An 18,415-nucleotide genomic window follows, 5' to 3' on the forward strand; every position below is an offset into this window, starting at 1 on the left:
GCATTCTCAGGAAAATACTTTGTGATGATTGAGTTTAAATCACAGAGCTGACCATTCCTTTGGATGGAGCAGGTTTGAGACACACTTTTTGTAGAATCTACAAGTGGATATTTGGACCTCTCTGAGGATTTCGTTGGAAACGGGATAACTGCACCTAACTAAACGGAAGCATTCTCAGAAACTGCTTTGTGATGATTGCATTCACCTCACAGAGTTGAACATTCCTATTGATAGAGCAGTTTGGAAACACTCTTGTTGTGGAATGTGCAAGTGGAGATTTGGAGCGCTTTGAGGCCTATGGTAGTAAAGGGAATAGCTTCATAGAAAAACTAGACAGATGCATTCTCAGGAACTTTTTGGTGATGTTTGTATTCAACTCCCAGAGTTGAACTTTCCTTTGGAAAGAGCAGCTATGAAACACTCTTTTTCTAGAATCTGCAAGTGGACGTTTGGAGGGCTTTGTGGTTTGTGGTGGAAAAGGAAATATCTTCACCTAAATACTAGATAGAAGCATTCTCAGAAGCTTCTCTGTGATGACTGCATTCAACTCACGGAGTTGAACACTCCTTTTGAGAGCGCAGTTTTGAAACTCTCTTTCTGTGGCATCTGCAAGGGGACATGTAGACCTCTTTGAAGATTTCGTTGGAAACGGAATCATCTTCACATAAAAACTATACAGAAGCAGTCTCAGAATCTTCTTTGTGATGTTTGCATTCAAATCCCAGAGTTGAACTTTCCTTTCAAAGTTCACGTTTGAAACACTCTTTTTGCAGGATCTACAAGTGGATATTTGGACCACTCTGTGTCCTTCGTTCGAAACGGGTATATCTTCACACGACATCTAGACAGAAGCTTTCTCAGAAAATTCTTTGGGATGATTGAGTGGAACTCACAGAGCTGAACATTCCTTGCGATGTAGCAGTTTAGAAACACACTTTCTGCAGAATCTGCAAGTGCATATTTGGACCTCTCTGAGGAATTCGTTGGAAACGGGATAATTTCAGCTGACTAAACAGAAGCATTCTCAGAACCTTCTTCGTGATGTCTGCATTCAACTCACAGTGTGGAACCTTTCTTTGATAGTTCAGGTTTGAAACACTCTTTTTGTAGAAACTGCAAGGGGATAATTGCACTTCTTTGAGGCCTACCGTAGTAAAGGAAATAACTTCCTATAGAAAGAAGACAGAAGCATTCTCAGAACCCTCTTCGTGATGTTTGCATTCAACTCACAGTGCTGAACCTTTCTTTGATAGTTCAGCTTTGAAACACTCTTCTTGTAGAAACTGCAAGTGGATATTTGGTCCTCTCTGAGGATTTCGTTGGAAACGGGATAAACCGCACAGAACTAAACAGAAGAATTCTCAGAGCCCTCTTCGTGGTGTTTGCATTCAACTCACAGTGCTGAACCTTTCTTTGATAGTGCAGCTTTGAAACACTCTTTTTGTAGAAACTGCAAGTGGATATTTGGTCCTCTCTGAGGATTTCGTTGGAAACGGGATAAACCGCACAGAACTAAAACAGAAGCATTCACAGAAAACTCTTGGTGACGACTGAGTTTAACTCACAGAGCTGAACATTCCTTTGGATGGAGCAGTTTCGAAACACACTATTTGTAGAATCTGCAAGTGGATATTTGGGCCTCTCTGAGGATTTCGTTGGAAACGGGATAAAACGCATAGAACTAAAACAGAAGCATTCTCAGAAACTACTTTGTGATGATTGCATTCAAGTCACAGAGTTGAACATTCCCTTTGACAGAACAGTTTGGAAACTCTCTTTGTGTAGAATCTGCAAGTGGAGATATGGACCGCTTTGAGGCCTATGGTAGTAAAGGAAATAGCTTCATATAAAAGCTAGACAGTAGCATTCTCAGAAACTTCTTTGTGATGCTTGCATTCAACTCACAGAGTTGAACTTTCCTTTCGAGAGAGAAGCTTTGAAACACTCTTTTTCCAGAATGTGCAAGTGGACATTTGGGGAGCTTTGAGGCCTGTGGTGGAAAAGGAATTATCTTCCCGTAAAAGCTAGATAGAAGCATTGTCAGAAACTTCTTTGTGATGATTGCATTCAACTCACAGAGTTGAAGGTTCCTTTTCAAACAGCAGTTTCCAATCACTCTTTCTGTGGAATCTGCAAGTGGATATTTCGACCTCTTTGAAGATTTCGTTGGAAACGGGAGAATCTTCACAGAAAAGCTAAACAGAAGCATTCTCAGAAACTTCTCTGTGATGTTTGTGTTCAACTCCCAGAGTTTCACGTTGCTTTTCATAGACTAGTTCTGAAACATGCTTTTCGTAGTGTCTGCAAGTGGACATTTGGAGCGCTTTCAGGCCTGTGGTGGAAAACGAATTATGGTCACATAAAAACTGGAGAGAAGCCTTCTCAGAAACTTCTCTGTGATGATTGCATTCAACTCACAGAGTTGAACCCTCCTATGGATAGAGCAGTGTTGAAACTCTCTTTTTGTGGAATCTGCAAGTGGATATGTGGACCTCTCCGAAGATGTCTTTGGAAACGGGAATATCTTCACATAAAAACTAAACAGAAGCATTCTCAGAAACTTCTTGGTGATGTTTGCATTCAAATCCCAGAGTTGAACCTTCCTTTGATAGTTCAGGTTTGAAACACTCTTTCTGTAGGATCTGCAAGTGGCTATTTGGACCACTCTGTGGCCTTCGTTCGAAACGGGTATATCTTCGCATAAAATCTAGACAGAAGCATTCTCAGAAAATACTTTGTGATGATTGAGTTTAAATCACAGAGCTGACCATTCCTTTGGATGGAGCAGGTTTGAGACACACTTTTTGTAGAATCTACAAGTGGATATTTGGACCTCTCTGAGGATTTCGTTGGAAACGGGATAACTGCACCTAACTAAACGGAGGCATTCTCAGAAACTGCTTTGTGATGATTGCATTCACCTCACAGAGTTGAACATTCCTATTGATAGAGCAGTTTGGAAACACTCTTGTTGTGGAATGTGCAAGTGGAGATTTGGAGCGCTTTGAGGCCTATGGTAGTAAAGGGAATAGCTTCATAGAAAAACTAGACAGATGCATTCTCAGGAACTTTTTGGTGATGTTTGTATTCAACTCCCAGAGTTGAACTTTCCTTTGGAAAGAGCAGCTATGAAACACTCTTTTTCTAGAATCTGCAAGTGGACGTTTGGAGGGCTTTGTGGTTTGTGGTGGAAAAGGAAATATCTTCACCTAAATACTAGATAGAAGCATTCTCAGAAGCTCCTCTGTGATGACTGCATTCAACTCACGGAGTTGAACACTCCTTTTGAGAGCGCAGTTTTGAAACTCTCTTTCTGTGGCATCTGCAAGGGGACATGTAGACCTCTTTGAAGATTTCGTTGGAAACGGAATCATCTTCACATAAAAACTATACAGAAGCAGTCTCAGAATCTTCTTTGTGATGTTTGCATTCAAATCCCAGGAGTTGAACTTTCCTTTCAAAGTTCACGTTTGAAACACTCTTTTTGCAGGATCTACAAGTGGATATTTGGACCACTCTGTGTCCTTCGTTCGAAACGGGTATAACTTCACACGACATCTAGACAGAAGCTTTCTCAGAAAATTCTTTGGGATGATTGAGTGGAACTCACAGAGCTGAACATTCCTTGCGATGTAGCAGTTTAGAAACACACTTTCTGCAGAATCTGCAAGTGCATATTTGGACCTCTCTGAGGAATTCGTTGGAAACGGGATAATTTCAGCTGACTAAACAGAAGCATTCTCAGAACCTTCTTCGTGATGTCTGCATTCAACTCACAGTGTGGAACCTTTCTTTGATAGTTCAGGTTTGAAACACTCTTTTTGTAGAAACTGCAAGGGGATAATTGCACTTCTTTGAGGCCTACCGTAGTAAAGGAAATAACTTCCTATAGAAAGAAGACAGAAGCATTCTCAGAACCCTCTTCGTGATGTTTGCATTCAACTCACAGTGCTGAACCTTTCTTTGATAGTTCAGCTTTGAAACACTCTTCTTGTAGAAACTGCAAGTGGATATTTGGTCCTCTCTGAGGATTTCGTTGGAAACGGGATAAACCGCACAGAACTAAACAGAAGAATTCTCAGAGCCCTCTTCGTGATGTTTGCATTCAACTCACAGTGCTGAACCTTTCTTTGATAGTGCAGCTTTGAAACACTCTTTTTGTAGAAACTGCAAGTGGATGTTTGGTCCTCTCTGAGGATTTCGTTGGAAACGGGATAAACCGCACAGAACTAAAACAGAAGCATTGTCAGAAACTTCTTTGTGATGATTGCATTCAACTCACAGAGTTGAAGGTTCCTTTTCAAACAGCAGTTTCCAATCACTCTTTCTGTGGAATCTGCAAGTGGATATTTGGGCCTCTCTGAGGATTTCGTTGGAAACGGGATAAAACGCACAGAACTAAAACAGAAGCATTCTCAGAAACTTCTCTGTGATGTTTGTGTTCAACTCCCAGAGTTTCACGTTGCTTTTCATAGAGTAGTTCTGAAACATGCTTTTCGTAGTGTCTGCAAGTGGACATTTGGAGCGCTTTCAGGCCTGTGGTGGAAAACGAATTATGGTCACATAAAAACTGGAGAGAAGCCTTCTCAGAAACTTCTCTGTGATGATTGCATTCAACTCACAGAGTTGAACCCTCCTATGGATAGAGCAGTGTTGAAACTCTCTTTTTGTGGAATCTGCAAGTGGATATGTGGACCTCTCCGAAGATGTCTTTGGAAACGGGAATATCTTCACATAAAAACTAAACAGAAGCATTCTCAGAAACTTCTTGGTGATGTTTGCATTCAAATCCCAGAGTTGAACCTTCCTTTGATAGTTCAGGTTTGAAACACTCTTTCTGTAGGATCTGCAAGTGGCTATTTGGACCACTCTGTGGCCTTCGTTCGAAACGGGTATATCTTCGCATAAAATCTAGACAGAAGCATTCTCAGAAAATACTTTGTGATGATTGAGTTTAAATCACAGAGCTGACCATTCCTTTGGATGGAGCAGGTTTGAGACACACTTTTTGTAGAATCTACAAGTGGATATTTGGACCTCTCTGAGGATTTCGTTGGAAACGGGATAACTGCACCTAACTAAACGGAAGCATTCTCAGAAACTGCTTTGTGATGATTGCATTCACCTCACAGAGTTGAACATTCCTATTGATAGAGCAGTTTGGAAACACTCTTGTTGTGGAATGTGCAAGTGGAGATTTGGAGCGCTTTGAGGCCTATGGTAGTAAAGGGAATAGCTTCATAGAAAAACTAGACAGATGCATTCTCAGGAACTTTTTGGTGATGTTTGTATTCAACTCCCAGAGTTGAACTTTCCTTTGGAAAGAGCAGCTATGAAACACTCTTTTTCTAGAATCTGCAAGTGGACGTTTGGAGGGCTTTGTGGTTTGTGGTGGAAAAGGAAATATCTTCACCTAAATACTAGATAGAAAGCATTCTCAGAAGCTTCTCTGTGATGACTGCATTCAACTCACGGAGTTGAACACTCCTTTTGAGAGCGCAGTTTTGAAACTCTCTTTCTGTGGCATCTGCAAGGGGACATGTAGACCTCTTTGAAGATTTCGTTGGAAACGGAATCATCTTCACATAAAAACTATACAGAGCAGTCTCAGAATCTTCTTTGTGATGTTTGCATTCAAATCCCAGAGTTGAACTTTCCTTTCAAAGTTCACGTTTGAAACACTCTTTTTGCAGGATCTACAAGTGGATATTTGGACCACTCCTGTGTCCTTCGTTCGAAACGGGTATATCTTCACACGACATCTAGACAGAAGCTTTCTCAGAAAATTCTTTGGGATGATTGAGTTGAACTCACAGAGCTGAACATTCCTTGCGATGGAGCAGTTTAGAAACACACTTTCTGTAGAATCTGCAAGTGCATATTTGGACCTCTCTGAGGAATTCGTTGGAAACGCGAAAATTCAGCTGACTAAACAGAAGCATTCTCAGAACCTTCTTCGTGATGTCTGCATTCAACTCACAGTGTGGAACCTTTCTTTGATAGTTCAGGTTTGAAACACTCTTTTTGTAGAAACTGCAAGGGGATAATTGCACTTCTTTGAGGCCTACCGTAGTAAAGGAAATAACTTCCTATAGAAAGAAGACAGAAGCATTCTCAGAACCCTCTTCGTGATGTTTGCATTCAACTCACAGTGCTGAACCTTTCTTTGATAGTTCAGCTTTGAAACACTCTTCTTGTAGAAACTGCAAGTGGATATTTGGTCCTCTCTGAGGATTTCGTTGGAAACGGGATAAACCGCACAGAACTAAACAGAAGCATTCTCAGAACCTTCTTCGTGATGTTTGCATTCAACTCACAGTGTTGAACCTTTCTTTGATAGTTCAGGTTTGAAACGGTCTTTCTGTAGAAACTGCAAGTAGATATTTGGACCTCTCTGAGGATTTCGTTGGAAACGGGATAACCCGCACAGAACTAAAACAGAAGCATTCACAGAAAACTCTTGGTGACGACTGAGTTTAACTCACAGTAGCTGAACATTCCTTTGGATGGAGCAGTTTCGAAACACACTATTTGTAGAATGTGCAAGTGGATATTTGGGCCTCTCTGAGGATTTCGTTGGAAACGGGATAAACCGCACAGAACTAAACAGAAGCATTCTCAGAAACTACTTTGTGATGATTGCATTCAAGTCACAGAGTTGAACATTCCCTTTGACAGAGCAGTTTGGAAACTCTCTTTGTGTAGAATCTGCAAGTGGAGATATGGACCGCTTTGAGGCCTATGGTAGTAAAGGAAATAGCTTCATATAAAAGCTAGACAGTAGCATTCTCAGAAACTTCTTTGTGATGCTTGCATTCAACTCACAGAGTTGAACTTTCCTTTCGAGAGAGAAGCTTTGAAACACTCTTTTTCCAGAATCTGCAAGTGGACATTTGGAGGGCTTTGAGGCCTGTGGTGGAAAAGGAATTATCTTCCCGTAAAAGCTAGATAGAAGCATTGTCAGAAACTTCTTTGTGATGATTGCATTCAACTCACAGAGTTGAAGGTTCCTTTTCAAAGAGCAGTTTCCAATCACTCTTTGTGTGGAATCTGCAAGTGGACATTTGGACCTATTTTGAAGATTTCGTTGGAAACGGGAGAATCTTCACAGGAAAGCTAAACAGAAGCATTCTCAGAAACTTCTCTGTGATGTTTGTGTTCAACTCCCAGAGTTTCACATTGCTTTTCATAGAGTAGTTCTGAAACATGCTTTTCGTAGTGTCTACAAGTGGACATTTGGAGCGCTTTCAGGCCTGTGGTGGAAAACGAATTATGGTCACATAAAAACTGGAGAGAAGCCTTCTCAGAAACTTCTCTGTGATGATTGCATTCAACTCACAGAGTTGAACCCTCCTATGGATAGAGCAGTGTTGAAACTCTCTTTTTGTGGAATCTGCAAGTGGATATGTGGACCTCTCCGAAGATGTCTTTGGAAACGGGAATATCTTCACATAAAAACTAAACAGAAGCATTCTCAGAAACTTCTTGGTGATGTTTGCATTCAAATCCCAGAGTCGAACCTTCCTTTGATAGTTCAGGTTTGAAACACTCTTTTTGTAGGATCTGCAAGTGGATATTTGGACCACTCTGTGGCCTTCGTTCGAAACGGGTATATCTTCGCATAAAATCTAGACAGAAGCATTCTCAGAAAATACTTTGTGATGATTGAGTTTAACTCACAGAGCTGAACATTCCTTTGGATGGAGCAGGTTTGAGACACACTTTTTGTAGAATCTACAAGTGGATATTTGGACCTCTCTGAGGATTTCGTTGGAAACGGGATAACTGCACCTAACTAAACGGAAGCATTCTCAGAAACTGCTTTGTGATGATTGCATTCACCACACAGAGTTGAACATTCCTATTGATAGAGCAGTTTGGAAACACTCTTGTTGTGGAATGTGCAAGTGGAGATTTGGAGCGCTTTGAGGCCTATGGTAGTAAAGGGAATAGCTTCATAGAAAAACTAGACAGATGCATTCTCAGGAACTTTTTGGTGATGTTTGTATTCAACTCCCAGAGTTGAACTTTCCTTTGGAAAGAGCAGCTATGAAACACTGTTTTTCTAGAATCTGCAAGTGGACGTTTGGAGGGCTTTGTGGTTTGTGGTGGAAAAGGAAATATCTTCACCTAAATACTAGATAGAAGCATCCTCAGAAGCTTCTCTGTGATGACTGCATTCAACTCACGGAGTTGAACACTCCTTTTGAGAGCGCAGTTTTGAAACTCTCTTTCTGTGGCATCTGCAAGGGGACATGTAGACCTCTTTGAAGATTTCGTTGGAAACGGAATCATCTTCACATAAAAACTACACAGAAGCAGTCTCAGAATCTTCTTTGTGATGTTTGCATTCAAATCCCCGAGTTGAACTTTCCTTTCAAAGTTCACGTTTGAAACACTCTTTTTGCAGGATCTACAAGTGGATATTTGGACCACTCTGTGTCCTTCGATCGAAACGGGTATATCTTCACATGACATCTAGACAGAAGCTTTCTCAGAAAATTCTTTGGGATGATTGAGTGGAACTCACAGAGCTGAACATTCCTTGCGATGTAGCAGTTTAGAAACACACTTTCTGCAGAATCTGCAAGTGCATATTTGGACCTCTCTGAGGAATTCGTTGGAAACGGGATAATTTCAGCTGACTAAACAGAAGCATTCTCAGAACCTTCTTCGTGATGTCTGCATTCAACTCACAGTGTGGAACCTTTCTTTGATAGTTCAGGTTTGAAACACTCTTTTTGTAGAAACTGCAAGGGGATAATTGCACTTCTTTGAGGCCTACCGTAGTAAAGGAAATAACTTCCTATAGAAAGAAGACAGAAGCATTCTCAGAACCCTCTTCGTGATGTTTGCATTCAACTCACAGTGCTGAACCTTTCTTTGATAGTTCAGCTTTGAAACACTCTTCTTGTAGAAACTGCAAGTGGATATTTGGTCCTCTCTGAGGATTTCGTTGGAAACGGGATAAACCGCACAGAACTAAACAGAAGAATTCTCAGAGCCCTCTTCGTGATGTTTGCATTCAACTCACAGTGCTGAACCTTTCTTTGATAGTGCAGCTTTGAAACACTCTTTTTGTAGAAACTGCAAGTGGATGTTTGGTCCTCTCTGAGGATTTCGTTGGAAACGGGATAAACCGCACAGAACTAAAACAGAAGCATTGTCAGAAACTTCTTTGTGATGATTGCATTCAACTCACAGAGTTGAAGGTTCCTTTTCAAACAGCAGTTTCCAATCACTCTTTCTGTGGAATCTGCAAGTGGATATTTGGGCCTCTCTGAGGATTTCGTTGGAAACGGGATAAAACGCACAGAACTAAAACAGAAGCATTCTCAGAAACTTCTCTGTGATGTTTGTGTTCAACTCCCAGAGTTTCACGTTGCTTTTCATAGAGTAGTTCTGAAACATGCTTTTCGTAGTGTCTGCAAGTGGACATTTGGAGCGCTTTCAGGCCTGTGGTGGAAAACGAATTATGGTCACATAAAAACTGGAGAGAAGCCTTCTCAGAAACTTCTCTGTGATGATTGCATTCAACTCACAGAGTTGAACCCTCCTATGGATAGAGCAGTGTTGAAACTCTCTTTTTGTGGAATCTGCAAGTGGATATGTGGACCTCTCCGAAGATGTCTTTGGAAACGGGAATATCTTCACATAAAAACTAAACAGAAGCATTCTCAGAAACTTCTTGGTGATGTTTGCATTCAAATCCCAGAGTTGAACCTTCCTTTGATAGTTCAGGTTTGAAACACTCTTTCTGTAGGATCTGCAAGTGGCTATTTGGACCACTCTGTGGCCTTCGTTCGAAACGGGTATATCTTCGCATAAAATCTAGACAGAAGCATTCTCAGAAAATACTTTGTGATGATTGAGTTTAAATCACAGAGCTGAACATTCCTTTGGATGGAGCAGGTTTGAGACACACTTTTTGTAGAATCTACAAGTGGATATTTGGACCTCTCTGAGGATTTCGTTGGAAACGGGATAACTGCACCTAACTAAACGGAAGCATTCTCAGAAACTGCTTTGTGATGATTGCATTCACCTCACAGAGTTGAACATTCCTATTGATAGAGCAGTTTGGAAACACTCTTGTTGTGGAATGTGCAAGTGGAGATTTGGAGCGCTTTGAGGCCTATGGTAGTAAAGGGAATAGCTTCATAGAAAAACTAGACAGATGCATTCTCAGGAACTTTTTGGTGATGTTTGTATTCAACTCCCAGATTTGAACTTTCCTTTGGAAAGAGCAGCTATGAAACACTCTTTTTCTAGAATCTGCAAGTGGACGTTTGGAGGGCTTCGTGGTTTGTGGTGGAAAAGGAAATATCTTCACCTAAATACTAGATAGAAGCATTCTCAGAAGCTTCTCTGTGATGACTGCATTCAACTCACGGAGTTGAACACTCCTTTTGAGAGCGCAGTTTTGAAACTCTCTTTCTGTGGCATCTGCAAGGGGACATGTAGACCTCTTTGAAGATTTCGTTGGAAACGGAATCATCTTCACATAAAAACTATACAGAAGCAGTCTCAGAATCTTCTTTGTGATGTTTGCATTCAAATCCCAGAGTTGAACTTTCCTTTCAAAGTTCACGTTTGAAACACTCTTTTTGCAGGATCTACAAGTGGATATTTGGACCACTCTGTGTCCTTCGTTCGAAACGGGTATATCTTCACACGACATCTAGACAGAAGCTTTCTCAGAAAATTCTTTGGGATGATTGAGTGGAACTCACAGAGCTGAACATTCCTTGCGATGTAGCAGTTTAGAAACACACTTTCTGCAGAATCTGCAAGTGCATATTTGGACCTCTCTGAGGAATTCGTTGGAAACGGGATAATTTCAGCTGACTAAACAGAAGCATTCTCAGAACCTTCTTCGTGATGTCTGCATTCAACTCACAGTGTGGAACCTTTCTTTGATAGTTCAGGTTTGAAACACTCTTTTTGTAGAAACTGCAAGGGGATAATTGCACTTCTTTGAGGCCTACCGTAGTAAAGGAAATAACTTCCTATAGAAAGAAGACAGAAGCATTCTCAGAACCCTCTTCGTGATGTTTGCATTCAACTCACAGTGCTGAACCTTTCTTTGATAGTTCAGCTTTGAAACACTCTTCTTGTAGAAACTGCAAGTGGATATTTGGTCCTCTCTGAGGATTTCGTTGGAAACGGGATAAACCGCACAGAACTAAACAGAAGAATTCTCAGAGCCCTCTTCGTGATGTTTGCATTCAACTCACAGTGCTGAACCTTTCTTTGATAGTGCAGCTTTGAAACACTCTTTTTGTAGAAACTGCAAGTGGATGTTTGGTCCTCTCTGAGGATTTCGTTGGAAACGGGATAAACCGCACAGAACTAAAACAGAAGCATTGTCAGAAACTTCTTTGTGATGATTGCATTCAACTCACAGAGTTGAAGGTTCCTTTTCAAACAGCAGTTTCCAATCACTCTTTCTGTGGAATCTGCAAGTGGATATTTGGGCCTCTCTGAGGATTTCGTTGGAAACGGGATAAAACGCACAGAACTAAAACAGAAGCATTCTCAGAAACTTCTCTGTGATGTTTGTGTTCAACTCCCAGAGTTTCACGTTGCTTTTCATAGAGTAGTTCTGAAACATGCTTTTCGTAGTGTCTGCAAGTGGACATTTGGAGCGCTTTCAGGCCTGTGGTGGAAAACGAATTATGGTCACATAAAAACTGGAGAGAAGCCTTCTCAGAAACTTCTCTGTGATGATTGCATTCAACTCACAGAGTTGAACCCTCCTATGGATAGAGCAGTGTTGAAACTCTCTTTTTGTGGAATCTGCAAGTGGATATGTGGACCTCTCCGAAGATGTCTTTGGAAACGGGAATATCTTCACATAAAAACTAAACAGAAGCATTCTCAGAAACTTCTTGGTGATGTTTGCATTCAAATCCCAGAGTTGAACCTTCCTTTGATAGTTCAGGTTTGAAACACTCTTTCTGTAGGATCTGCAAGTGGCTATTTGGACCACTCTGTGGCCTTCGTTCGAAACGGGTATATCTTCGCATAAAATCTAGACAGAAGCATTCTCAGAAAATACTTTGTGATGATTGAGTTTAAATCACAGAGCTGACCATTCCTTTGGATGGAGCAGGTTTGAGACACACTTTTTGTAGAATCTACAAGTGGATATTTGGACCTCTCTGAGGATTTCGTTGGAAACGGGATAACTGCACCTAACTAAACGGAAGCATTCTCAGAAACTGCTTTGTGATGATTGCATTCACCTCACAGAGTTGAACATTCCTATTGATAGAGCAGTTTGGAAACACTCTTGTTGTGGAATGTGCAAGTGGAGATTTGGAGCGCTTTGAGGCCTATGGTAGTAAAGGGAATAGCTTCATAGAAAAACTAGACAGATGCATTCTCAGGAACTTTTTGGTGATGTTTGTATTCAACTCCCAGAGTTGAACTTTCCTTTGGAAAGAGCAGCTATGAAACACTCTTTTTCTAGAATCTGCAAGTGGACGTTTGGAGGGCTTTGTGGTTTGTGGTGGAAAAGGAAATATCTTCACCTAAATACTAGATAGAAGCATTCTCAGAAGCTTCTCTGTGATGACTGCATTCAACTCACGGAGTTGAACACTCCTTTTGAGAGCGCAGTTTTGAAACTCTCTTTCTGTGGCATCTGCAAGGGGACATGTAGACCTCTTTGAAGATTTCGTTGGAAACGGAATCATCTTCACATAAAAACTATACAGAAGCAGTCTCAGAATCTTCTTTGTGATGTTTGCATTCAAATCCCAGAGTTGAACTTTCCTTTCAAAGTTCACGTTTGAAACACTCTTTTTGCAGGATCTACAAGTGGATATTTGGACCACTCTGTGTCCTTCGTTCGAAACGGGTATATCTTCACAGGACATCTAGACAGAAGCTTTCTCAGAAAATCCTTTGGGATGATTGAGTGGAACTCACAGAGCTGAACATTCCTTGCGATGTAGCAGTTTAGAAACACACTTTCTGCAGAATCTGCAAGTGCATATGTGGACCTCTCCGAGGAATTCGTTGGAAACGGGATAATTTCAGCTGACTAAACAGAAGCATTCTCAGAACCTTCTTCGTGATGTCTGCATTCAACTCACAGTGTGGAACCTTTCTTTGATAGTTCAGGTTTGAAACACTCTTTTTGTAGAAACTGCAAGGGGATAATTGCACTTCTTTGAGGCCTACCGTAGTAAAGGAAATAACTTCCTATAGAAAGAAGACAGAAGCATTCTCAGAACCCTCTTCGTGATGTTTGCATTCAACTCACAGTGCTGAACCTTTCTTTGATAGTTCAGCTTTGAAACACTCTTCTTGTAGAAACTGCAAGTGGATATTTGGTCCTCTCTGAGGATTTCGTTGGAAACGGGATAAACCGCACAGAACTAAACAGAAGAATTCTCAGAGCCCTCTTCGTGATGTTTGCATTCAACTCACAGTGCTGAACCTTTCTTTGATAGTGCAGCTTTGAAACACTCTTTTTGTAGAAACTGCAAGTGGATATTTGGTCCTCTCTGAGGATTTCGTTGGAAACGGGATAAGCCGCACAGAACTAAAACAGAAGCATTGTCAGAAACTTCTTTGTGATGATTGCATTCAACTCACAGAGTTGAAGGTTCCTTTTCAAACAGCAGTTTCCAATCACTCTTTCTGTGGAATCTGCAAGTGGATATTTGGGCCTCTCTGAGGATTTCGTTGGAAACGGGATAAAACGCACAGAACTAAAACAGAAGCATTCTCAGAAACTTCTCTGTGATGTTTGTGTTCAACTCCCAGAGTTTCACGTTGCTTTTCATAGAGTAGTTCTGAAACATGCTTTTCGTAGTGTCTGCAAGTGGACATTTGGAGCGCTTTCAGGCCTGTGGTGGAAAACGAATTATGGTCACATAAAAACTGGAGAGAAGCCTTCTCAGAAACTTCTCTGTGATGATTGCATTCAACTCACTGAGTTGAACCCTCCTATTGGATAGAGCAGTGTTGAAACTCTCTTTTTGTGGAATCTGCAAGTGGATATGTGGACCTCTCCGAAGATGTCTTTGGAAACGGGAATATCTTCACATAAAAACTAAACAGAAGCATTCTCAGAAACTTCTTGGTGATGTTTGCATTCAAATCCCAGAGTTGAACCTTCCTTTGATAGTTCAGGTTTGAAACACTCTTTTTGTAGGATCTGCAAGTAGCTATTTGGACCACTCTGTGGCCTTCGTTCGAAACGGGTACATCTTCGCATAAAATCTAGACAGAAGCATTCTCAGAAAATACTTTGTGATGATTGAGTTGAACTCACAGAGCTGAACATTCCTTTGGATGGAGCAGGTTTGAGACACACTTTTTGTAGAATCTACAAGTGGATATTTGGACCTCTCTGAGGATTTCGTTGGAAACGGGATAACTGCACCTAACTAAACGGAAGCATTCTCAGAAACTCCTTTGTGATGATTGCATTCACCTTACAGAGTTGAACATTCCTATTGATAGAGCAGTTTGGAAACACTGTTGTTGTGGAATGTGCAAGTGGAGATTTGGAGCGCTTTGAGGCCTATGGTAGTAAAGGGAATAGCTTCATAGAAAAACTAGACAGATGCATTCTCAGGAACTTTTTGGTGATGTTTGTATTCAACTCCCAGAGTTGAACTTTCCTTTGGAAAGAGCAGCTATGAAACACTCTTTTTCTAGAATCTGCAAGTGGACGTTTGGAGGGCTTTGTGGTTTGTGGTGGAAAAGGAAATATCTTCACCTAAATACTAGAGAGAAGCATTCTCAGAAGCTTCTCTGTGATGACTGCATTCAACTCACGGAGTTGAACACTCCTTTTGAGAGCGCAGTTTTGAAACTCTCTTTCTGTGGCATCCGCAAGGGGACATGTAGACCTCTTTGAAGATTTCGTTGGAAACGGAATCATCTTCACATAAAAACTATACAGAAGCAGTCTCAGAATCTTCTTTGTGATGTTTGCATTCAAATCCCAGAGTTGAACTTTCCTTTCAAAGTTCACGTTTGAAACACTCTTTTTGCAGGATCTACAAGTGGATATTTGGACCACTCTGTGTCCTTCGTTCGAAACGGGTATATCTTCACATGACATCTAGACAGAAGCTTTCTCAGAAAATTCTTTGGGATGATTGAGTGGAACTCACAGAGCTGAACATTCCTTGCGATGTAGCAGTTTAGAAACACACTTTCTGCAGAATCTGCAAGTGCATATTTGGACCTCTCTGAGGAATTCGTTGGAAACGGGATAATTTCAGCTGACTAAACAGAAGCATTCACAGAACCTTCTTCGTGATGTCTGCATTCAACTCACAGTGTGGAACCTTTCTTTGATAGTTCAGCTTTGAAACACTCTTTTTGTAGAAACTGCAAGGGGATAATTGCACTTCTTTGAGGCCTACCGTAGTAAAGGAAATAACTTCCTATAGAAAGAAGACAGAAGCATTCTCAGAACCCTCTTCGTGATGTTTGCATTCAACTCACAGTGCTGAACCTTTCTTTGATAGTTCAGCTTTGAAACACTCTTCTTGTAGAAACTGCAAGTGGATATTTGGTCCTCTCTGAGGATTTCGTTGGAAACGGGATAAACCGCACAGAACTAAACAGAAGAATTCTCAGAGCCCTCTTCGTGATGTTTGCATTCAACTCACAGTGCTGAACCTTTCTTTGATAGTGCAGCTTTGAAACACTCTTTTTGTAGAAACTGCAAGTGGATGTTTGGTCCTCTCTGAGGATTTCGTTGGAAACGGGATAAACCGCACAGAACTAAAACAGAAGCATTGTCAGAAACTTCTTTGTGATGATTGCATTCAACTCACAGAGTTGAAGGTTCCTTTTCAAACAGCAGTTTCCAATCACTCTTTCTGTGGAATCTGCAAGTGGATATTTGGGCCTCTCTGAGGATTTCGTTGGAAACGGGATAAAACGCACAGAACTAAAACAGAAGCATTCTCAGAAACTTCTCTGTGATGTTTGTGTTCAACTCCCAGAGTTTCACGTTGCTTTTCATAGAGTAGTTCTGAAACATGCTTTTCGTAGTGTCTGCAAGTGGACATTTGGAGCGCTTTCAGGCCTGTGGTGGAAAACGAATTATGGTCACATAAAAACTGGAGAGAAGCCTTCTCAGAAACTTCTCTGTGATGATTGCATTCAACTCACAGAGTTGAACCCTCCTATGGATAGAGCAGTGTTGAAACTCTCTTTTTGTGGAATCTGCAAGTGGATATGTGGACCTCTCCGAAGATGTCTTTGGAAACGGGAATATCTTCACATAAAAACTAAACAGAAGCATTCTCAGAAACTTCTTGGTGATGTTTGCATTCAAATCCCAGAGTTGAACCTTCCTTTGATAGTTCAGGTTTGAAACACTCTTTCTGTAGGATCTGCAAGTGGCTATTTGGACCACTCTGTGGCCTTCGTTCGAAACGGGTATATCTTCGCATAAAATCTAGACAGAAGCATTCTCAGAAAATACTTTGTGATGATTGAGTTTAAATCACAGAGCTGACCATTCCTTTGGATGGAGCAGGTTTGAGACACACTTTTTGTAGAATCTACAAGTGGATATTTGGACCTCTCTGAGGATTTCGTTGGAAACGGGATAACTGCACCTAACTAAACGGAAGCATTCTCAGAAACTGCTTTGTGATGATTGCATTCACCTCACAGAGTTGAACATTCCTATTGATAGAGCAGTTTGGAAACACTCTTGTTGTGGAATGTGCAAGTGGAGATTTGGAGCGCTTTGAGGCCTGTGGTAGTAAAGGGAATAGCTTCATAGAAAAACTAGACAGATGCATTCTCAGGAACTTTTTGGTGATGTTTGTATTCAACTCCCAGAGTTGAACTTTCCTTTGGAAAGAGCAGCTATGAAACACTCTTTTTCTAGAATCTGCAAGTGGACGTTTGGAGGGCTTTGTGGTTTGTGGTGGAAAAGGAAATATCTTCACCTAAATACTAGACAGAGTCATTCTCAGTAAGCTTCTCTGTGATGACTGCATTCAACTCACGGAGTTGAACACTCCTTTTGAGAGCGCAGTTTTGAAACTCTCTTTCTGTGGCATCTGCAAGGGGACATGTAGACCTCTTTGAAGATTTCGTTGGAAACGGAATCATCTTCACATAAAAACTATACAGAAGCAGTCTCAGAATCTTCTTTGTGATGTTTGCATTCAAATCCCGGAGTTGAACTTCCCTTTCAAAGTTCACGTTTGAAACACTCTTTTTGCAGGATCTACAAGTGGATATTTGGACCACTCTGTGTCCTTCGTTCGAAACGGGTATATCTTCACATGACATCTAGACAGAAGCTTTCTCAGAAAATTCTTTGGGATGATTGAGTGGAACTCACAGAGCTGAACATTCCTTGCGATGTAGCAGTTTAGAAACACACTTTCTGCAGAATCTGCAAGTGCATATTTGGACCTCTCTGAGGAATTCGTTGGAAACGGGATAATTTCAGCTGACTAAACAGAAGCATTCTCAGAACCTTCTTCGTGATGTCTGCATTCAACTCACAGTGTGGAACCTTTCTTTGATAGTTCAGGTTTGAAACACTCTTTTTGTAGAAACTGCAAGGGGATAATGGCACTTCTTTGAGGCCTACCGTAGTAAAGGAAATAACTTCCTATAGAAAGAAGACAGAAGCATTCTCAGAACCCTCTTCGTGATGTTTGCATTCAACTCACAGTGCTGAACCTTTCTTTGATAGTTCAGCTTTGAAACACTCTTCTTGTAGAAACTGCAAGTGGATATTTGGTCCTCTCTGAGGATTTCGTTGGAAACGGGATAAACCGCACAGAACTAAACAGAAGCATTCTCAGAACCTTCTTCGTGATGTTTGCATTCAACTCACAGTGTTGAACCTTTCTTTGATAGTTCAGGTTTGAAACGGTCTTTCTGTAGAAACTGCAAGTAGATATTTGGACCTCTCTGAGGATTTCGTTGGAAACGGGATAAACCGCACAGAACTAAAACAGAAGCATTCACAGAAAACTCTTGGTGACGACTGAGTTTAACTCACAGAGCTGAACATTCCTTTGGATGGAGCAGTTTCGAAACACACTATTTGTAGAATGTGCAAGTGGATATTTGGGCCTCTCTGAGGATTTCGTTGGAAACGGGATAAACCGCACAGAACTAAACAGAAGCATTCTCAGTAAACTACTTTGTGATGATTGCATTCAAGTCACAGAGTTGAACATTCCCTTTGACAGAGCAGTTTGGAAACTCTCTTTGTGTAGAATCTGCAAGTGGAGATATGGACCGCTTTGAGGCCTATGGTAGTAAAGGAAATAGCTTCATATAAAAGCTAGACAGTAGCATTCTCAGAAACTTCTTTGTGATGCTTGCATTCAACTCACAGAGTTGAACTTTCCTTTCGAGAGAGAAGCTTTGAAACACTCTTTTTCCAGAATGTGCA

General features: G+C 41.0%; 1 annotated feature.

Moving 5' to 3' along the window:
• Positions 1 to 18,415: part of a centromere (Linear centromere model derived predominantly from reads generated in PMID: 17803354. This region does not represent an actual centromere sequence, as long-range ordering of repeats and unmapped WGS contigs is not provided by the model. For details of model production, see http://arxiv.org/abs/1307.0035.) that runs on past both edges of the window.

The sequence above is a fragment of the Homo sapiens genome, chromosome 17, assembly GCF_000001405.40.
Source record: "Homo sapiens chromosome 17, GRCh38.p14 Primary Assembly".
Lineage (NCBI taxonomy): Eukaryota > Metazoa > Chordata > Mammalia > Primates > Hominidae > Homo > Homo sapiens.